This window comes from Homo sapiens, chromosome 7 (genome assembly GCF_000001405.40).
Source record: "Homo sapiens chromosome 7, GRCh38.p14 Primary Assembly".
Lineage (NCBI taxonomy): Eukaryota > Metazoa > Chordata > Mammalia > Primates > Hominidae > Homo > Homo sapiens.
The window spans coordinates 112,392,778-112,416,411 of NC_000007.14; the positions used below are offsets into that span (position 1 = coordinate 112,392,778).

Genomic DNA, 23,634 nt, shown 5'->3' on the forward strand with positions numbered 1-23,634 from the left:
CCTGGCACAGGCCGCGCGCGGTGGCTCACGCCTGTAATCCCAGCACTTTGGGAGGCCGAGGAGGGTGGATCACGAGGTCAGGAGATCGAGACCATCCTGGCTAACACGGTGAAACCCTGTCTCTACTAATAATACAAAAAAAAATTAGCCGGGCATGGTGGCAGGCGCCTGTTGTCCCAGCTACTGGGGAGGCTGAGGCAGGAGAATGGCGTGAACCCGGGAGGCGGAGCTTGCAGTGAGCCGAGATCGCGCCACTGCACTCCAGCCTGGGCGACAGAGCTAGACTCTGTTTCAAAAAAAAAAAAAAAAAAGGAATAGTGCCTGGCACATAATAGGCATTCAGTAAATATTGTTTGAATGAATAAATCTTAAACAGAGTGTGTGATATAAAATGTAAGATTTCCTTTATGACTTGGGGTCATCTACATCTAGCTGGGCATTCCTGACCACCCGTCCTTCTATTCTCATCCAAGCAGAGTTCTTCACTTTCTCCTCTTTATTACTCCTGTTCCTTACACGTTTTTATAGTTAGACTCATCACACTGAATTCTAATTTATTTATAAATATGTTTGCTTTCCTCCCCTTGCTGTAGGCTCCTTGGGGTAGTAACTGCATTTAAACTATTTCTAAATCCTCAGTATCCTGAACAGCGTCTGGAACTTTGCGGGCACCAGTGAAATGTCAGTTGGAACGTATTGCCCATACCTAAAAGAGCAGGTGCAGATACAGTGTGGGAGGTAGGGGTGACTGATTTCGTTTGTTGTTCTGCTGTGTGCAGTTAATGTCCCTGATATAGTTTGGATACTTGTCCCCACCCAAATCTCATGTCAAAATATAATCCCCAGTGTTGGAGGTGGCCGCTGGTGGGAGGGTGATTAGATCATGAGGACGGATTTCTCATGAATGCTCTAACACCGTCCCCTTGGTGCTGTTCTTGCAATAGTGACTGAGTTTTCGTGAGATCTGGTTGTTTAAAAGTGTGTGGCACCTCCTCACCTCTCTCTTGCTCCTGCTCCCTCTTCATCTTCTGTCATGATTGTGAGATGCTGGCGCTATGCTTCCTGTAGAGCCTGCGGAACTGTAAGCCAATTAAACCTCTTTTCTTAGAAATTATCCAGCCTCAGATATTTCTTTATAGCAATGCAAGCATGGCATAATGCAATTCCCATCCCTTTCCCTCAGATTACTGAATCCTAGGATCAGAGAATCTCTGCTTGGTATGTGGAAGTCCTCAGGAAGAATGAGAAACTGTTGATCCATCTCCCCCACCTTCAGCTCCCTCTACATGGAACAAGCTTCTAGCATCCCACCTGTGAGAGCAAAGAGCCAAGGTGGCAGCTCCTTGCCCTCCAATTTGCCTCTTCCTCCTCTGCTCACATTACCCCAGCTCCATCCAAGGCTGCTGATAGGACTGGTTGGTCCCCTGCCTGCTTCCCTTCTTTCTTTCTTAATGTAAAATCCTCAGTGCTCTGCCCTAAGCCCTTTTCCTTTCTCATATGATCTTCCTTTGATGGTCTTTTTTTTTTTTTTTTTTTTTTGAGATAGAGTCTTGCCCTGTTGCCTAGGCTGGAGGGCAGTGGCGCCATCTCGGCTCACTGCAACCTCTGCCTCCTGGGTTCAAGCGATTCTCCTGTCTCAGCCTCCTGAGTAGCTGGGATTACAGGTGTGCACCCGCACGCCCAGCTAATTTTTGTATTTTTAGTAGACAGGGGGTTTCGCCATGTTGGCCAAACTGGTTTTGAACTCGTGACCTCAGGTGATCTGCCCACCTCGGCCTCCCAAAGTGCTGGGATTACAGGAGTGAGCCACCATGCCTGGCCCTTTGATGGTCTTATCTATTCCTGTTCTACCTGTGACAATGCCATAAAACCTAGGATCTTAGGACTATTGAGTATGAAGCACCCTCTTGACAACCTAAACTTTGGTTTAGGTTATCAACCTATCTCAACCCTATCATTAGCAAATGACCTTCACCATTTCCACCCTATCAGTTTACTGCATGTATTATTTATTTACTATTTTAAAAAATCAGTATGCTTTCCCACTTCACTTAGCCAAAGAAATAGTGTCAGCAAAATGAAGAGTTTGTTGGACAATCATTTTTTTTAGAGAGAGAGTCTTGCTCTGTTGCCCAGGCTGGAGTGCAGTGGCACAATCATGGCTCACTGCAGCCTTGACTTCCCGGGCTCAAGCAGTCTTCCTGCCTCAGCCTTCCAAGCAGCTGGAACTACAGACATGAGCCACTACACCTAGCTAATTTTTAAATTTTAAGCAGAGGTGGGGTCTTGCTATGTTGCCCAGGCTGATCTCAAACCCCTGGCCTCAAGTGATCCTTTCATCTCAGCCTCCCAAAGTGCTGGGATTATAGATGTGAGCCACTATGACAGGCCTGGGGAATCTTTTTTTCTAAAACACATCAACATAAATATGAGTGGTAAAAAATTTTTTGAAGTTTCCATGTGGACCACCTAAAATCATATTGCAGACCACACTGTGGGAGACTTGGGTTCAGCACTGCATCTTCACCTTGTAGAGGGGTAAACTGAGAACCAAAGAGGCTAAATGATGCAACTGAAGCCACATTTCCAGTTAGCAGTAGAGCTTTGAGTATGACTTGTACGCCACCTTACCTTGAGTCCTGTGATCTCTCCAGAGCCCAGGACTAGTTTTCCTAATTTCTGTGCTTGCTGTCACTTTTCCATAAATACTGTACTAGTATATCAGATTCAGTCTGATATGGTTTGTCTCTGTGCCCCTAGCCAAATCCCATTACAAATTGTAATCCCCATGTGTCAAGGAAGGGACCTGTAATCCCCACTGTCGAGGGAAGGAAATGATTGGATTATGAGGGCGGTTTCCCCCATGCTGTTCTCATAATAGTGAGTGAATTTCACAAGATCAGATGGTTTTATAAATGGCAATTTTTCCTGTGCTCTCACAAGCTCACTTTTCTCTTGCCTGCTGTCACATAAGATGTGCCTGCTTCCCCTTCTGCCATGACTCTAAGTTTCCTGAGGCTTCACCAGCCATGCAGAACTGTGAGTCAATTAAACCTCTTTTATTTATAAATTAGCCAGTCTTGGGCAGTTCTTTATAGCAGTGTGAAAATGGACTAATACATAGTCCTTACGGAATTCATCTTTCCTCTCTCAAAATCTGTTCCTCTTCTTGACGTCCATCTTCCCATTATACCTATTATCTACCCAGACTCCAAGCATCCCTGATTCTCTCACTCCCATATGCAAGTTGCTGCCGAGACTGTCTGTCTCATCCCTCATTATCTGAGCTGTCAGTGGCAAGGCAGCCTTGCTGAACCCAAATGACAGCCATGTCTCTCACCTCCAGGCTCCCTTAGTACTTTGCATGTTTTAATTTTGTGGTATTTATGACATGCTATCTCTCACATCTGTTCTTTCACATGTCTTATCTGTAAACATTTTTTGTGAGAGGCGCTTAATTACCTTTGAACCTCCACAGTTTCTCATACCTATCTGCCATGCTCTGTATATGAATGCTTGAATGAATGACTGACTGAATGAATAAATAAATAAATATATGCATGGATGAATGAGTTATGCACAATTAAAGCAGGGTAAAAGCAGCACAGGGAGTTATAATTTTAAAATAATCATTTTGTTAACATTTCCATTGCAACTTTTTTTAAAAAGCTTAAATGTAAGTTTTCTTGATGTTTTATGACCAAAAGTCAGTATTAATATAGAGTCAGTTGAATGTGGCTCCCTGGTATGAAATGTAAGTCATTCCTAATTCAGATATAACCATAAAAATTCAGCTTCACTTATTATTGTCCACAGATTACTTACAATGGAGGTACAATCTGTTGGTCAAATAATGAACCGTTTGAAGGATTAGCAGGAGGGTAATTAATAAATATGTGAATTATTCCTTCAAGCTATGGACACTGCCAGCAATCAGCTTTTAACTCTAGCATGTATATTCTTATAATGGTATAAGTCTATAATATTGTCATTATGACACATCATTTACAAACTAGTAAGTTGTGAAGCTCTAGGATTATGTTTTTGAATGCTTTTGTCTTATACTGACCTGGAATCCCAGTTCCTTGCCTTTTACCCAGTTTAATTCATTATACTATTAAAAATTAAGTTTGTCATCTCCATTGTGTTCTCTTTCCTAGCCCTGGGGAATAACATAGGTATCTTCATTTAACAGTCATCACAGGTGACTCTGATGTAGGTGGTCCACAGGCCACACTTTGGGTAAACCCTACATAAGACTCTAGGCATTTCAAGAATGAATGCCGGCTGGGCACAGCAGCTCACACCTGTAATCCCAGTACTTTGGGAGGCTGAGGTAGGCAGATTACGAGGTCAGGAGATTGAGACCATCCTGACTAACACGGTGAAACCCCGTCTCTACTAAAAATACAAGAATTAGCTGGGCGTGGTGGCGCACGCCTGTAATCCCAGCTACTTGGGAGGCTGAGGCAGGAGAATTACTTGAACCAGGGAGTTGGAGGTTGCAGTGAGCCGAGATCACACTACTTCACTCCAGCCTGGTGACAGAGCAAAACTCCGTCTCAAAAAAAAAAGAATGAATGCCATGCTTCACTCATTTGTATCTCCAACATATGCAAGGTGCCTAGACATAAATAGACATTCAATACATGAATAAATGTCTATTGAATGATGACTTCAGCTACTCTGTGTGTGTGTGTGTGTGTGTGTGTGTGTGTGTGTGTGTGTGTAGTGGGAACACCCATGTAAAAGCCAAATCTTTGTTTTGTTCTTAAAAGCAATTCCATAATAGCTGCTTTCTTGCTATGTACCTTAGTATGCAGTATCGAAGCTTCCTTACTATTATTCCAGCATTCATACACTACACTTTACCTTTTAAGATAATGTTTACTTACTTTGTAAAACCCAGTTACCCACAGTTGAAAACACGGGGATCAGAGACCCAAAGAGGAAAGTACAAATCACCTCTAATTCCCCCTCAGAGGAATGCCCATTGTTAACATACGGGCACATGCAATGATTGAATTATACATAGTGGTACTTTACCATTTTTAATTAACAGAATTATCTTTAATTTCTTTTTTTTGGAGAAGATATTTTAAAAATAGAGAATGGTTTCAGATGTCCTGTAGGTTCTGAAGAAGGATGATACATTTGAGGAGCAAAATACTTTTTCAGTTAGGTTCCTAATTACATCTTTTACTTTACTCATTAAGGTTCTTGTTCAAGCAGCAGAAACTAACTCTCACTATATTAAGCAAAAAGAGGTTTTACAGGAAGACTATGTTGTGTGGTCTTGGGATTGAAGAGAAGCTGAGGAATAGGGCTTATAAGAAACAAGGATGTGGCAGCTGCAGAAGGTAGGAGGGACCGCTCAGTGAGCCTGCCCCAGCTTTTTGCCTTGCTTGTCCTGCTCTTCTTAAGGATGAAAGTACCAGGTGAGAGTGGGTTCGGTTTTGTTTTGCTGGAGGTAGGTTACATAAAATTAGCTGAACTTGGCTATAGACTGACCGTGGGTGGAGAGAGAAAGAGAGGGGTCAGGAATCATTTCCAGGTTTCTGGCTTACTTAAATTGGTAATGGTGCCATTTCTTAAGATTGGGAACAATGCCAGCTGACTAGGCTGGCTAAATCCAGGGAGGGGTTAGATGAATGGTTTGATTTGGGGCACAATGAATTTGAGGTGCCTTGAGACATCAAAAGATCTTTAGTAGGCAAGTGGATAGGTGGGTTGTGCTGCACATTCTGTTTGCCTCTCCGGAACTACTCTCCACCCTCCTCCACCCTGCTCTGGGCCCTGGGAGGCTGACCTGCATCAACAAACTCCCTTTGCCTCTGGCTTCATACTGGGTTGGTTCAGTGGAGAACCCCAGCAGATCAGAGAAGGAAAGCGAATGCGGGAGATGTTTATCTATCTGGCTTCCTCCCTGCAGGGTTGCTGTGGGCTGGCTATATCTCTGAACCACAGGCCATAGCCCTTGTCAGGTGACTTCTCCACCTCTCTTTCTCTCCAGGTTCTGGATGTGCTCTTGCTTGTTCCAGAATACTGCATGACCTTTTATCATGTCCCTGTTTCCTGTCCACTCACTCTAGTTGTTTCAGTCTGAATGTATCGCCCATTTCTGCCAGGGTACTAATGAATACATGGGTACAGAATTCAGAGGAGAAGCTCAGGCTGGCTGGGAAGGCATTTTGAGAATCATCTGTTTATAGATGTCATAGAAGCTGGTGTGGATAATAAATCCTTTGTGAGGGAACACAGCTGAGAAATGGAGAGTATTAAGGACCAAGGTCTAAGAAATTCTAACTTACCTCCCACTGAAACAGGGCAGTGAGAAGAATGACCTGATGAAAGGGACCTCCAGAAACCCCCTTGAATTACCTGGAGAGAGGATAGGCATGTGTATTGACCATCCCACAATGACATCACACAGTGGGAGAGAGGCAATTCCCTACAAAGAAATTAGAATGATATTAAAAGGGGAGAATGGATGCTGAGTGGCTAGAGTCAACACACACACATACTCACACGTGCACACATGTAGCATACACACCTACATAATTTTATTAAAATGGGATACACATATCTCTGGTTTGTTAGCAAGGTTAATTCCTCTATGAGTCACAGAAAATCCAAAATAGTAGTGATTTAAATAAGAGAGCAGTTTTTCTGTCAGGTAAATGAAGTTTGGAGGCAGTTCTGGCTGCCATGACACTCCATGGTGGCAGAGATCGAGGCTCCTCTATCATATGCCATCCTCAACATATGAGTTCTACCTCATGGTTCAGGATGGCTACTTGTGCTCCAGGCATCTTGTCTGAATTCTGGCCAGCAGGACACTCCCCAGATGTTGCACATAATACTTTAGCTTACATTCCACTGGTCAGAACTTAGACATATAACCATATCTCCTGGTGAGCTTCTGAGATATAGCTTTGTTTCAGATGGCTGTGTGCCCAGCTTAAAAGCATGAGTTCTAATATAAAGGAAATAGGAGAGAATGGAAGTTGGGACACTGCTAGTGGTCTTTCCCCAAACACATTATTTTGTAATCTGTTTTCTTACTCATACAAACATTTTCTTTTTTTTCTCCCAACTAATTTTGATGACTCCTTGCTGGTCATAGTCAATCTGTAATATTCTTCCATGTGCACTATCTCTCCTAACCCAAAGCACCTAAGAAAAATATCAGATGATATCAAAGATCCCATACATGGCTAACACAGTTCAGGAGGATTCTTTAAGCCAACTTAGCTAATCCACAAATTTTACAACATTAGAGCCAAAAGGACCCATAAAGAACATCTAGTCCAAGGAATGGAGCAGCAACAGATCAAGGCTAGTATTTCAGCAAAGTGCAGCCTAGCTACAAAAGCTTGCCTCTTGCAGCTAGTCCTGACTCTCTGTGATTTAGAAATACTAGAGTATGTTTGATTCATAGGCACATTTTACATCCTGCTTTAGGCAGATATGAATGTGCACATGCTACCCCTGGCTACACATCAATTTCCAGACAGGAATAAACTACGTACTGCTTCTTTTTCTAGGAGGCGTATGATGCTGTGGTGAATGGGGCCATAAATTTCTGCAGGAGATGAACATTCCACAGTCAGGACTCATTACCATGTCATTGGACTGCCTTTTCCCTTAACAAATATGATCAGTTTTGTTTATGGTGTTGGTAGGAAAGGTAGCCATTGGCTCAGAGAATGTAGCTCATTAAGCCAGATTAAAGCAACTAAAAAAAATTTTCTTAAGCAGTGTGGAATAGAAACAATCTCAAATTCCAGCCTAGGGTAGGTTGGGAAGGCAGTAGGATAGTAGGATTTTTCTCATTATGATGGAATGATTTACTTTTTATGTAGGCATTTCACAGTTTAGGAGGTTAACAACTACTCTGAGGCAAATTGTTCTAGAGTTATCAAACTCTGTCCTATGTGCAAGGCAGAGTGTAGCATGGTGAAAGGGGCTTATAATAACAAGCACACAAGATTTTTGGAAAGAAATGAAACTATGAATGACAAATAGTATAATATTATAAACTTTAAACTGTCTACCAATGTTATTTTCATCATCATCTTCTTTGTCTCATGGCTTCAGCATAGATGTTATTTAGAGTTTTATATGTATATATAAAGAGTTATATATATATATAAAGAGTTATATATATATATATATATATAAAGAGTTATATATACATATTAGTCTGATATAATTATTAGGTCCCAGGGAGCCCTAGGTTATTAGTCCCCAAAGATCTATCTTAGCCAGATAGTCAAAGGGTTGTGTACAGCTCTTTCAGTGGGAGAATTAGTAAGTCATCATGTAATTCTAACATTTGTGTGGGCAGAAAGTTGTTTAACTTGAACCTGGTATCCACAATTAAAGATGCTACTCTGGAACACTTTTCAAAGAACCTAATAATTCTCCAAGATTACAAAATGGTAACAAGAGTTGGATACTGCAGGTGTTACTTTGGTTCCTGGTAAATCTAACCTCTGTGTCAGACCGTTCATTGGAGACAGTGGTTGAATAATTCATGGTGCCAGATTTTCAATCTCCATGTAATAGCTTGCCACATGTTGGTCTGTTGGCTGATCCGTAAAAATACATAGTGCACAAAGTAGCAAGTAGAATTATTTTCCCCTATATTATGTGGAAAGAGTCATCAATATTTTTTCATGAATAAGTATTTAAACTACTGAATAATAGCTATATTAGTTATGTATTGCTGTGTAATAAATTACCCTAACCCTTAGAGGCTTAAAATAATTCCTATGAATCAGGAATCCAAGCACAGCTCAGTTGAGTGCCTCTGGCTCAAAGTATCTCTCAAGGTTACAATCAAGCTATCAACTGGGGCTGTGGTCTTATCTAACAGCTCAACTGGTAGTGACATTGGGGTCTGCTCCGAAGATCACTCATGTGGTTGTTTGCAGCCCTCAATTTCTTGCCAGTTGGGTTTTTCCATAGGGCTGACCCATGACATGGCAGCTGACTTTCCATACACCCAGTGATAAGAGAGAAAAAGAGACAGAGAGAGAAAGAGAGAGGAGAAGGAGGAGAGGAGAGAAGTCAAATAGAAGCCAGTCTTTTTTATGACTTAATCTCAAAAGTGACATGTTATAATTTTTGCCATATTCTTTTTTTTTTTTGAGACTGAGTCTCGCTCTGTCACCCAGGCTGGAGTGCAGTGGCACAATCTTGGCTCACTACAGCCTCTGCCTCTGGGTTTCAAGCGATTCTCCTACTTCAGCCTCTGAGTAGCCATGATAACAGGCACATGCCACCATGCCCGGCTAATTTTTGTATTTTTAGTAGAGAAGGGGTTTCACCATGCCACCTGCTTCGGCCTCCCAAAGTGCTGGGATTACAGGCTTGAGCCACTGCAGCCAGCCTCTGCCATATTCTATTCATTAGAAGTGAGCCAATAAGTCCAGCCCACACTCAAAGAAGGTATTACAGAAGGGCATGAATATCAGGCAGCAAGGATCATTAGGAGTTATCATAAACACTTCTTACAACAATGGTATTGGAGTTTTATATTTTGGAAATGATCATTTGGCAGATGGTCTTGGTTATAATAAATTATTTTGTTTTTACATAGCAGCTAATATCAGATTGTTAACAAAGTGAGACCCTGTGAGTTTAGAAATTTGGTGATAATATCCTAGAAAATGCTTAGTATCAGGTCAGGCTTTATGACCTACTTGCAGGTACTGATCCTATAAAATCTACATACTATTTTCATAGGTTCAATGTATTTCATCTAGTAGACTCTCTTTCAGTGAATTAAATAGTAAACTAATTTCTGCTTCTCCGAATTCTTTAAACTAATGAACAGAAAGTCAATTTTACAGGTGAGAATTGAGTTTATTGTTTATTTGGCAAAATTGGGCTGTTATACATACCTTCTAAAATGTAAGAGATGTGTGTATGACTTTAATCTCTAGGAGTTTATATCAATTCATAGAAGATATGCTTTGCTAAAACCAATGAATATTATTTTCTTTATGCCTGTAAAGCTTCACTTAATATTTCTTTTATAAATTCACTGGCAATGAATTCTCTTAGCTTTTCATTATCTGATATTCTCTTTGGGTAAATGATTCTAGCTTGAAAGTTTATTCTGTCAGTACTCTAAAGATACTGTTCCAGCCTCTTCCAGCTTACATGATTTCTGGTTAGAAGTTTGCTGTCATTTTTATCTTTGTTCTTTGTACATAATGTTCTATAATTTGTCTTGGCATTATTTTCTGAATTTATGTTTTGCTTGGGGTTTGTGGAGATTCTGTGAGTTTACAGTTTTCATCAAATTCGGAAAAAATTTGATCATCGTATCATCAAATATCCCCGTATTTTTTCTAACATGTGTAATATAAGCCCCAGTTACACACATGCTAGAATCCCTAATATTGCTCACAGTCACTGATGCTGTGTGTATTTCTTAGTCTTTTTTCTCTCTGTGCTTCATGCATAGTTTTTCTTCTGGTTATAGATAATATTTTCCTGCTTCTTTGCATGCTAATAATTTATGATTGGGGCCGGGCGCGGTGGCTCACACCTGTAATCCCAGCACTTTGGGAGGCTGAGGCGGGTGGATCACAAGGTCAGGAAATCAAGACCATCCTGGCTAACACGGTGAAACCCCGTCTCTACTAAAAAATACAAAAAATTAGCTGGGCGTGGTGGTGGGTGCCGGTAGACCCAGCTACTTGGGAGGCTGAGGCAGGAGAATGGCATGAACTCGGGAGGCGGAGCTTGCAGTGAGCTGAGATCGTGCTACTGCACTCCAGCCTGGGCGACACAGCGAGACTCCATCTCAAAAAAAAAAAAAAAAAAAAAAAATTGATGATTGGATATTGAACATTTTTGAAGATCTGATTTTGCTGTATTCCTTTAAATAGTGTTACATTTTCTTCTGGCACATGGTAACTTAGAATCAATTGGATTCTTTCAAATCTTTCTTATAATCTTTGTTAGGGCAGGTCCAGAGCTGTATTCAGTCTAGGATAATTTAGCCCTCCAACTAAGGTGGAATACTTTTGAAGACTCTATCCAGTGCCCATGTCGTGCAGAACCTTTCCACTCAGGCTTGTGCAACACAAACCATTCTCAGCCCTGTGTGAGCTCTTGGAATTGTTAGGCCTTCTCATTTCCAGTGGTTCCTTTGCTGGCCTTGGGTAGTTTCCTTTCACACACATAGAGTAGTACTCAGCCAAATACTTGAGCATACTCCTCTGTAGCTTGCTTGTTCTCTTTCAGAAGCTCCCTCTTTTTTGGTAATTTGTCTTAAAAATTCTTCTTGCCTTGGACAATACCTGCTTTGCAACACAGCAAGACTTTTGGGGTCTGTTTGAGTTTCCCCTTTTTGTACTGCAGCCTAGAAACTGCCTCCAGTGAGTAAACTGGTGCAACTGTAGGGCTCCCTTTTTAGGGTTTTTTTTTTTTCTCTCAGAGAGCAAGGCCCTGCTGCCTGTTCTCCAATATGTAAAATTGTTTCATTTATTTTGTCCATTTTTTCCTAATTGTTTAAGGTGAGTGGGTAAATATGGTTTCTGTTACTCCATCTTGGCTGGTAGTGGACTTTTTATGATGAAATCAAAATAAATATAGAATTGTACTTTTAAGAACCTTTGTTGTGAGAATTTGAGTAGCAGAAATACTTAGAAAAGAGAAGATAAAATCAATTAACATGTTGAATGCTTCCTCTCAGATAACCTGAATGCAATAGATTATTGCACAATAAAATATTTTTCAGTAGTGCCAAGTGTCCATGTTCTTGCTTCTCCTCATGTTCCCATCTGTGGTTCCAGAGCACAGTATTCACAAAAATTGTATATGGTGGCCAAGGAATATTTTGTAGTATCAATTCATATTACTTAAAAAAACTTGTATATATGTAGGCCTGTTGTAACATGAGCAAAGTGCAATATGAATTCTTCACATTGTCAACTAAATGGAAACAGAATGCTAGAACATTGTACCAGTTTGGGTTTTCCAGAATGCACATGGCAAGACAGAGTCAGAACTGCAAGAGATTTCTTTGGGAAATGCTCATGAAAGATAAAGGGAGGAGGGAAGAGGAGTGGGCATGAGAAGCCTTCAGACCACAAGTGTCTGACACTTGTGAATGGAGAGAGGGAAGGAGGGGAATTGGGGTAGAGGACCCTCAGACTGCAACACATCTCTGAAAAAGTGTTGGCCAGCCCAGCAGGGAGCTCAGGCACAAAGACTGCCAGTAGAAGAGTCCTGTATTGAGCAGAAATGGCTCAGTTCTCTTACCTCTGCCTTGCAGCCTCCAATAGCTCCCTGGGAAGAGTTCAAGCCTCAGCTTGAACACACAGGTAAATCCTAAGGTCTCTGTAGCTCAAGACTGTAGATAGCTGCACACTTCATGGCCATTTTTCTCTTTGAAGGGGGCTCTGAGGGGCCCACCTTCATGGCTTGTAAAAATTGTGAGTAATTTTACTTTTATAAATATATTTAATGAGGTTTCATAATATTTTCAAAAAACTAAATTAAAACATCAAGTTGATTTACATAAGTTTGATTTAAAATTTGGGTAATCATGCTACAACATAGATGAACCTTGAGAACATTATGCTAAATGAAATAAGCCAGTCACAAAAAGACAAATACTGCGTGATTCCACTGATATGAGGCATCTAAAGCAGGCAGACTGTTAGAAATAGGAAGTAGAATGGTGGTTGCCAGGGGCTGGAAGGAGGGGGAAAAGGGTAGTTTTTGTTCAATGGATATAGAGTTTTGGTTTTGCAAGATGAAGAAGTTCCAGGGAGCTGTTGGACAAGATGCATACAGTTAACACTACTGTATAGTACACTTCAAAATGGTTAAGATGGTAAATTTCACATTATGTTTTTACCACAATAAACATTTTTTGTAATCATTCATTATAATTAGTATTTTCCTTTGAATTTTAATAAAATATTTTGAAACAAGAATAAAGAATAATTTTTACTCTGGCCCTAAGCCCCACAAATATTAAGGCCTGTGGAGCTTCTGTTTCTCACAGACCTGGACCACCCGCCCAAATTATAGCAACCTGACCCCAACAGCCTGCTTTTTATGTCCATCTTCTCTCAGAAATCTGATTTTAATAGGCTTGATTCAAAATTACAACTTGTAGGTCAAGCATGGTGGCTCATGCCTGTAATCCCAGCACTTTGGGAGGCTGAGGCAGGTGGATCACTTGAGCTAAGGAGTTCAAGACCAGGCTGGGAAACAGGGAGAAGCTGTCTCTACAAAAAATTACAAAAATTAGTTGGGCATGGTGGTGCACACTTATAGTCCCAGCTACTCCAGAGGCTGAGGAGGGAGGATTGCTTGAGCCCAGGGGGTCGAGGCTGTAGTGAGCCGTGTTCATGCCACTGCACTCCAGGTTGGGTGACAGAGCAAGACCCTGTCTCAAAAAAAAAAAAAAAAGGCAAGCCTATAATTTTTATCCAGATTGATTGAAACAGTGTTAGGACCCTGGCCCCTGCCCCATGCTGGGTGAAATGAGCAGAGAAAGGTGTCGGGGGAAGGAATGAAGTCTCAGGTGGGCAGGGGGAGGAGAATGGGATAGTACTTGGTGTGAATGTTGCCAATAATGAAGCCAGCAATGAAGGAAGAGTGGGTGTAATAAGGCAGGAAAGTACATCGTACTTAGAGGAAACTGAACGGTAAACTGTAATCAGTCCATAACTGACACATTTAAATTTTTCAATGGTCAAAAAGAGGAAAATCACACAACTGACCTGCTCTTAAGACACAGTTTTAGCTATTACTTGAAGAAGATGTCCAACAGGATAGTGCACATTCAGAAATATTAACTGCAAAACTTGAACTCACCCTCAAGATTTTCATTAACTTAGACCCACCTGGCTCTGTGACACTGTTTTCAGAAGGTTAAATGCTTGGCAGTGGGGTAGGCATTTGGGGAAATTTTAGAATTGCACATATCTGAGCAAACTGATTGTGTCCAGAAAGTACTCTTACTGGGAATACAGTGCTAATGAATACAAAATAACAGTCCCTGCTGGGTAGCCTCCAGATGGCAAAACTTACAAGCTGTTTGGCTTTGGAATAGTCATGTAACCTCTCCGTGCCTTTGGTTCCTCATCCATAGCAAGGAGGGATACATAGTTCCTACCTCGTTAAACTACTGTGATGATTCAATGCAATTATGCATGTAAATAAAACACTAGAACAGGTCCTGGCACATACCAATAATTCAATAAATATTATTAATAATTATTGTTTCCTTATGTGGATTTTCTCTTCTTCAGGGCTTGATTATATTTCTAAGCTTAGCAGGCTGCCTTGCGAAATGCACTTACTATGGGAGTCTTGAGTGGATGAGTCTAAACATATCACCACTACTGGTGAAAAGTAAATCAGCTCAAAAATCCTCTAATAATGGTGGTGGATCACCCCTGCACCAAAAGACAGAATACTAGTTAGGGTGGATATTCCATTTTAAATCACTGCTGTATATCTACCAAGCAGGTTTTGAAATGATTCTTCTAAAGGGCATAAAAGGAGTTTATTTTTCATGCCTATTCTTGAAATGTTACAGATGCTATGAAAAATAAGAACAAGAAGTGGGAGGCAAAGTTCTTAGATGAATGTGAGATTTAAGATGTTACTTGACAAAAACATTGCCCAAGAGTTTTTGGTCTTATTTTCCTACATTTCATAATTGTGCCCCACAGGTCTCAATTGTGACATCCTGAAGATGGCTGAATGGCTAATGAGAAAAAGCTAATGGTTCTGTCTGGGACTCCAGTGGCCTTGCTTTGGTACTGTTGACCATTCTCCCTGCAAAGGCGAAGAAGCCCTGGGACCAGAAACCCCCATATTTTTGTAGAATTCCAAGGGTGATGTCAACTGAAATATGGGAATTCAGGACCTTAAAAAAAAAATCTTGAAATGATTAAGTTGAACTCTATTTGATCTGTTTAGATTTACCAAGATTCACTCCTCTGGCTCTGACCAACCTTACTATGTATTGGAAGCCACAATCCCTCCCTTTCACTCCCATATGCCAATTCTGAACATTTTTCTTCCTTGAAAGGCAGACCTAGGAGAACAAGGCCCTAGGACATGCAATTCTATTTCTTGCCTGCTTCTTATCTCACCTTTGAGTTCTAATTTAATGTCTGAGGAATCATGTACTTGTTGACCTGGACATTTCAAAGGAGCTCCCAGGCTGGAATCACAGCCTGTTAAGCCTTAGGGTAACATCTCCTAAAAGACAGCTAGCAGTCATTTCCATACAAAGGCTCCAAAGACAAAACACACACCTGCTTGCCAAAATTCACACTGTACCTGGGCGTGCCACCTGAAGGCACACAACGACTGCTTTCTTGAGACAGGGGCACAGCTCACAAAATGGACCTCAACATCCCAGGTTCCTTCCACTGGCTCGTTTCTCAGGGCTTTGAATCTCCTTCTGTTTACAAGTTTTATATTACTCTTAGGCTACATGCCTCTGAAAGTGAGGCCCCTGGAGTGAAATATGGTGTGGTGAGACAGGGCCAGGTAGGTAAGGGATAACCTGTGAAGCAGATGATTCCTACTTAAGCTCCTAGAGAGAACCTAGACTATACTTAATAAATACTTTTGGCTACTCTTAGGATGGTTAAGATGTCCAAGCTGTCAGTTTAAGCTTTCCTGCTTTGAAGTTGCAGGAAGAACTTGATGTCACACTGCTCTTATCTTTTGACTTTAATTAAAAGCTTCTCCATTTCACCCCAAATCCTGCCTAAGAATCCAAACATTCCCAGGTAGCAGATCAACTTTGTGATGGCCAATAGGCTTTTTTCAATGATTGCCTGTGGATGTTCAAACTAACATTATGGAATGAGCTGCCCTCAAACAGACTGTGTTGGATTTTCTTTTCTTGCCCTGTGGACATCTTGGGCACATGCCCTCTGTTTCTGGTCTCTTTCAGTTATTAGAACAGTCTTGTTTTCAGGTATTAAAAAGTCTAGTTCAGCTGAAAACTTCCCCACCCCTACCCTTTGTGGGTCTGACCTGCAGTTGCCCAGAGCAGCAATGGGGAGGGACATAGGGGTCTATCTTTTCCCTTCCTCACTCCCTGCCTCTGTCTCCTCTAGGATTTGAATGTGGAAGAGGATGGCAGGACAAGAAGCTCCTGCCTTTTAATTTAGCTCTTGCTGTTTATAGTTGTCTCTCAGAAATCAAATGCCCTTTGTGGGCTGGGCATGCTGGCTCACACCTGTAATCTCAGCACTTTGGGAGGCCACAGTGGGAGGATCACTTGGGGCCGGGAATTTGAGACCAGCCTGGGCAACATAGAAAGACCTCATTGCTACAAAAAAAAAAAAAAAAAAAAAAAAAAAAATTAGCCAAGCGTGGTAGTGTATGCCTGTAGTCCTAGCTACTCTGGAGGCTGAGGTGGGAGATCACTTGAGCCCAGGAGTTTGAGGTTACAGTGAGCCATGATTGTGCCACTGCACTCCAGTCTGGGTGACTGAGCAAGACCCTGTCTCTAAAAACAAACAAACAAAAAAGAAATGCACTTGTTATAGGGAATGTCCAAATGCCAGGCTTTCTTTTCTCTCCTGGGGCACTTCTGAGGACAGCCCTCCCCCTGCCACCACCCACCAAAGATCTTCTTATTACACTATTTTCTGACCCAGGTACTGTCCTTGTGTCTGATTTCTTATGACTTCCCCTCTGGTCCTATTCCAAAGTCCTCACCTGGGGTCTCCTCGTCCCTGCCGGCATCCTCTTGAGCAGGGTCCTCTGAAGATGGTTCTGGTCTGATGGCCCTCTGTGATGTCAATTTGGTCCATGGAAAGCAAACACCCTTGTCCACCATTGGGAGGAATGCTGCTGGCTCAGCCATAGTTCTCTGTTCTTGCTCTGGCAGCTCCATACAGTCCCTCGGTTCACACCCTTTTGGGCGAGAATCAGGTAACAATCTCTGTGTTCTTCAAACTCTGGGGGACATGTGTCAAGTTTCTTACTTTGGTCTCATGGCAGTCCCTTCACCAGCCTCCTTTTCCCCCTAAAACATTTCATTGTAGCCTGACACCTCCTTCAGTAAAGTCTTCCTTGATCCATTTCCTTCATAGTATTTCTTCACTGAACTATACTCTTAATATTTTTATACTTTTCTGTATGTATGCTAGACTTCAATAAAAATGCTTGTTTAAGCATTTTCAAAATAATCTTGTATTGAGAGTTACCCTTATCTTAGCTTTAAATTGCTTTGCTACAATCTTTGACAAGTTTAGGAACACATATATGTGAAGGGAGCTCCTTTACCTACATGAGGACCTAACTTGGGGTTCTTTTAAAGCAGTGGTAAGCACATAGTTAAATGACTTGGGGGGCTTATTTGCAGTCACCATTAACTAAAATAATGAGGCAACTTCTGTGTACCCTGGAGAGTCTAACAGAAAACAGAGGTTTTCAAGGGCTCCAGGCTGCATGTGAAAAAATCCCAGCAGCTAAGAGCTTGTAATTTGACATGAGAGTAATGCATATTTGGTTTAGTTTCGTAACTTCAGACTTTTTGAACCAGTTTTTTAAAACAGACATATATGAACTCTCTGAAATCAAGATGATAAGTCATCTGAACTGAAGAGTAAGCTAAATGACTGAAGAGCACTTTGTCATCTCAAATGGAAATATTTGGGGACCCTTTTTCTTAAATACTAAAGACAATGAAAAATGCCTTAGTTTTTTTGAATTTTACTTCTCACTAATCGCTGCCTCAGAGATTGTGTCTGTGATAGAAATAAAAACTTGTCTTTGGGAAGATGAGTGTGTATTTCTAGGTATCCTGCTGGTGCCTTAGCAATTGTTCTGTAAACCCAGCAGCGTTGCCCCCCAACCCCCCCAACTATTCTGGGTACCAATGGTAACACCTATGCCTTGGTTGAAAACTCCCACCATCACCTGGAGAAACTCTTTTATCTCACTGGATGGCCTTGAAAGTCAAGCCACATCCTTGTTGTCTTCTCTGGGTATTTTCTTTTTAAAGTAGGAAGGACAGTTCGGGAAGGTGACCTTCTGATGCAGCTCTTCACAGTTTAACATGAGGCGTAACAGCTGTGTCCTGTGAAATAAGCAACTTCTCCAAACAAGCAACAGTCCTTATTCATCATTCAGATTTTCAGAGGGAGATAAAAATCACTACTTGAAGTTAGCAATGGGTTAACCAAATTTGCAGACCACTCATTTTAACTTATTGTATAACTGTGCGATCTAGAAGGTGGAAAGACACAGTGTAATGGCTTATAGAGGAGATTATAAGAATTAGCTCATAGGTTAAAGATTTTCTGATGAGTTACAAAATGGATTTCACTCACAGGGGCAAATCTCTCTCATAATCCTTGAGGCATTGTACAAAAAAATAAAAAAGCACAGTTACTTTATGCACAATAGTTTTGACATTTTATCAGCATGCAATTAAAATCCCTTTGTCTAAAGTTCTGGTTCTAAATTCTTGAACAGATAGAAGCCCAGAAAGGACTGTGTTATGCATTTTAGAAAGAAGAAATTAATTTGACAACTCATAGAGTTTCGTCCTGGGAGGGAGCGAGTAGTGCGGTGCTGCACTCTATGGGCTGCTGCAGAAACATACAGGATGCATTTTGTCTATCTGCCAAGAAAGTCTTCCCGAGGAAATATCTTCAATCAATTCTCTGGAATAATCTGGCAGCCTGCTCAACACAGATTCTTCTTTCAACAGAAAGAAAAGAGAAATACAATAAATTAAGCAATAGAGGGGAAAAGTAGAACTTAAATATGTTAAAACTCCTCTGGTGGGTGCTGTAGACTGAAAGTTTATGTCTCCTGCAAAATTCATATCGTGAAGCCCTAACCCCTAAATGTGATGGTATTAGTGGGTGGGGCCCTTGGGAAGTAATGAGGGTGAAGCCTCATGAATGGGATTAGTGCCCTTATAAGAGGAAGAAGAGACCACGGACTTCTCTCTCTCTTCACTATGAGGATGCCGCAAGAAGGCAGCCATCTGTAAGCCCAAAAGAGGGCCCTCACCAGAACCCAAGCAGCTGGCACCTTGACCTTGGACTTCCCAGCTTCCAGAACTGTGAGAAATAAATGTTTGTTGTTTAAGTCACCCAGTCTATGGTATATTGTTATAGTAGCCCCAATTGACTAAGACAAAGGTGTTTAAGTGAAGTGAAGAAGAAGTGAAGTGAGGAAAAGGAAAACAACAGGAAAAGCAAGTTGCTGTTGCTCACACATTCAAAAACCAACTTGGATTTGTTCAAGTAGAAAAATCCAGGCAATCATAGACAAATGCCCCAACTTGGAGTTTGGGTGTATATTGCAATGGCATGGATATAAAAAGGAAAGCACAATGGTGTGTTTCCCCCATTGGCTTATCTGGTTTCCGATAATGAAAAAGAGTTTCACAAGCCAGTGTTTGCTCTTCATTAGAACACAGAATGAGACAAACAACGGTTCTGTGTGACTAGATTGTCTGCACTTGAAAGTTTGAATGCCAGAGGTTCTTTTGGGATGTGGCATTAACATGCACTTTAATCTTCTAGGACTTCATCAAATCAGGGAAACGTGCAAAATAGGAGAGAAAACACTTAAACATTAAAAAGGCATCAATTCATTTAATTTATTTAGATATATACTGACAATATGGTCTTTAGATATTATCATTGGTATATACATTTGAATTGGCTTTTTCCCCTCCATTTGGGAGCAGTTTTGCTGATATAGTTTTACTTTTTTTCTCAGATTTCACATGATCAAGAGTATGCCACTGCTGGTTAGATGGGACTGTGATGGATGTCTGATTTTAACAAAATTTGTTCTAAACTAGACTCGTGTCCTTGACCTTCGCCTTATTACCTCCATTCTCTACTAAAGTCATTATAAATTACTCTTAAATGCTAATTTTCTCTCAGTTCCAAAGATTCCTAGAGTATAGAAAAGTACTGAAGAAAGGGTCTTAGAAATGGGCTTGCTTGATTTCCTAATTTTAGTATTGAAAATCATGTGTCCTGGATTATAATCTATGGCTCCCCACAACTCAACTATTTCACATTGAGTCTTATTCTCTGGATCTTGTTCACTGAAAATCATTAGGCTCTTCTGTAATCACAGCAGTGAGTTGGTAATGAATCAATTAGCAGCCTATGGATTCTTATCTCATAAAAGATCAGAAAAAGCACTGGAGAAATCTATGAAACCTGGTGTGCAAAGAATGCCAGCTACCTCAGGTTAGTTGACTTCAATTCAATGAGACAAAAATAGCATTGATCATCTACTCCACCAATAGCTGTTTCTTATTTCCAATCTCTCAGTGCCACAGTTGGGCTTAAATCTGGCCATTATTGTAATCTAGCAGAGAAACACTGTCCTTAGGCTTTTGTGAAATCATTTGGAAGAAATGATTAATTGGCCACTGAATAAGCATCCTTCCCCCATTTCACTTTTGGAAGCAGGATTCTTTGTTCTGCAGCAATGGGCCCAATAGTAGCAATAATAAATATACTTTTGCAGCCTTAGGGTATGAACCCAGGACCGATTTAAGACAGGAAAAGAAGTCTTGTTCCCTTGCCATGGAGAAGGCCTGTGACCTAGTTCTGGCTCATGAAATATAAGAGCAAGTGTGCCGGAGGAAAGACTTTCCTCCTGATAAAGCAAGAGCTGCATGAGAAGAAAGTTACATTTGCCCACTCTCATCCCTTCCTGCTTTATGGAGCTGTTTTGTGAGGCTGCAGGCATCTTGTAACCATGAGGTGTTAATTCTGTGGATGAGACCCCTGAGAGCTGACCATACCTGGAAGAGCCTAGCTCTGAACTTCTTGTTTCTTAAGGTTTAAGCCTCTGCACTTGAATGTTCTGTTAGTTAGAGCTGAATGCGTTCCAGCTGCTACAGATGGTCGAAAGTCTGAGTAGGAGGTAATGCTTCTCCATGCTGCTGCCTGGAGGAGTATTAGAATTTGGCCATCCTACCTTCTATTAATTGCTGCCTTCTTGATTGCCACTTCGATTGCACAGTGCCCTAAGAGCCCTAAGGAGTATAGTTCAGTAAAGCCTGGGGGTGTGTAAAAGCAGCCTGTATTCACAATTGAAGTTGGGCTTTAAATGTGTGGTTTGAAGGGTATCACCATTCTCATCTAGCGTATAAAATAAATAAAATAAATTTATTATCCGCTTTCAGTCTGAAATTCTATTTGTGAAGCTTATTCCTAGAGTGTTCAAGATTTCTTTCTTAAATTATGTGTTTTCTTGAATGGAGACCAGCATCCTACACTCTTATCAGCTCCCATGTTAGCTGAGATGGAGAACTAACTGCAAACTGGGGATAAAATAAATAGAATTTTAGGACCTATGAGTTTGTAGAAATCTTTGAGATCATCCAACCTCACACCTTTATTTTGTAGATTTAAAAGAAAAGCCAAAAACTGTGGACCAGAAAGTTTCAATAGTTTACTGGATAATGTCCATAATCCAGGTTTCCAGGCTTCCAGTCCAGGGGATTTTTTTAATCTTGTTGTCAACCCAGATTAAGTGTGTGAACAGCACATTTAGAATGCCCGATGGAAGCCTGCTGCCATTTCTCTACCTGGGTCTGGAGTCTGTGGGCTTGAAAGTTTATTTGAATAGTTGGCATGCTTTTAGCAATGGAGGTGGGGGTGTGGGGCACGGCATAAAAGGAGGAGCTGATGGACATCGGAGGGAGCAGACACATGGCCACTGGCCTCTGGGTTTTGCTGACGTCTAACCCTGCATTTGCCCTATATCTATGGGAAAGGGCAGGTGCTTCTTTCACTCTTTCTTACTTGATAGACTACATATATGTTTGTTTTGAATAATTCATCTATTTAACAAATGTCATAACATGCTACCTTTATGATAGACTCTCATTCTTTTAAAAAGCCTATTTCTGAGGTTTAGAAAATAAATCACTGCTATGTGTGTTTATAAATGTTTCAGTTTATCTGGGATCTTCAAATAAAAATGTTTCTTAAAATACTAGGTTAAATATTCCAAAGAGGTTCCCATATTTTGTCAAGCACTTATGGATCTATAAAGGCATGCACTGTTTAAATAAATTCTGACTTTTTATAAAAAGGCATGAATTTATTGCAGTGCCAACAGTAGTCAATCTCTTCTTTAGATATGTAGTTTTAAAATATATTGTTTCAAAAGAGCCAGATTCGTAACTGTTTTTGTGATTTGTTTTTGCTTAGACACCTACACAATCCTTCTATTCCAAACAATCTTCAGGTCATAAATCTTGGAATGGTTTCTGTGTTCTCTTGCCCTCTGCTGGCTAAATTGAGATCTTTCTTAGAACATGCCAATCAGACACACCCCGTGGGTCACAGATATACATCCTCCATCCTGCTCGTTTTTGGGTCCATTTGGCAAATGCCTCCTCAACAACTTTTATGCCAGAGATAAAAATCTAGCTTTAGATCCCCTGCTTCTCATCAAGATATCCATGACCTGGTGACTCTAGTTTATAACATCTGTCTGTTCTCAAGCATCTTTTGTATTTACCCCTTGCATCCTATGATTAGCAACTTATTATATCTTATAGCATTCCTGAATTGTCTCTGCTACATAATTAAGTAAATTATCATGCCAGTGAGTAAACATAAGATGTAACAATCTGTCTTGCTTATTAGTTGCTTGTTGTTTGTCTTGTTTCCCCAGTGTGACTGTCATCTCTCTAGGCTTTCATTCAACCCCATCAACTGGATCCCAAAGAGCCCTCGGCCATGGAAACTAGGCCCCTACACCTCTCCCAGACCTTCATGGGCTGCTGAAGGGCCCCTGGTGCCTGCTGTAACCGTGGCATTCACAGGCATCCCCTAGTCCCTCTGCAGTAGAGGGACATGGGGCAAAGTAGAGCACACATGCTTGGGGAAGTTCAGCCCTTCCCCAGTGGGCCATGCAGAAAAGGGTGAAGCAACACACGATCTGAGACCTGTGTTCTCCCCTCTCCTGCGGGGGGTGAACCCCAGCTGACATTCTTGAGGTTCTCCCACTGCTCTCTCCTCTCCCTCATGTAATACTCACAAGACTGGTGTTGTTCTGGGGTAGGCTGTGGAGCAACTCCTGCTCTTGAATGCCTCCTCCTCCATTTACATCTAAATTGAAATCTTTTTCAATTACTTTGTCTCCCAGTTATTCTGAAGATACATGTTATTTATTTATTTATTTATTTATTTATTGGCTCTCTTTGTTGAACTGTACTTTTTTTGTGCAGAGAGAAGGTGTATGGAGAGATTTGAATTTGGGTGGCTGGCGTTATTATCATATGGGAAATGGCAGAAGTTCTCTTCTGATGTTTTGCATTGTTTTGTTTTGTCAGTGAGGTAGAAAACAAGACAACCAGCTGAATGAGGATGGGAGAAGGGTGAGGGGAGAAGATGTGAATGATTATGTGAAGGAGCTGGAGATGGAAGGACAAGGTAGTGTGACACCCTAGCAGCATGAAGGCACCGCTTGCAGTTAGCAGTAGTAAATTTAAAGTAAGACCAGTCAGCATGATCGTGGAATTTTCTCCAGCAACGTTCAGCTGCATCCTGTTGTGGTTTTGCCAAATGAGTACAAAGAAATGTGCTAAGCAGATATGATAAAAACCTTAAAGCA

General features: G+C 41.1%; 2 annotated features.

Annotated features, from left to right (window-relative positions):
- Positions 22,353-22,854: an enhancer, noted in NCBI's record as "H3K27ac hESC enhancer chr7:112055185-112055686 (GRCh37/hg19 assembly coordinates)". NCBI's record gives its function as "activates a minimal SCP1, AML or CMV promoter by ChIP-STARR-seq in primed H9 embryonic stem cells {active_cell/tissue: H9 hESC(primed)}" and the evidence as "EXISTENCE:reporter gene assay evidence [ECO:0000049][PMID:30033119]".
- Positions 22,855-23,354: an enhancer, noted in NCBI's record as "H3K27ac hESC enhancer chr7:112055687-112056186 (GRCh37/hg19 assembly coordinates)". NCBI's record gives its function as "activates a minimal SCP1, AML or CMV promoter by ChIP-STARR-seq in primed H9 embryonic stem cells {active_cell/tissue: H9 hESC(primed)}" and the evidence as "EXISTENCE:reporter gene assay evidence [ECO:0000049][PMID:30033119]".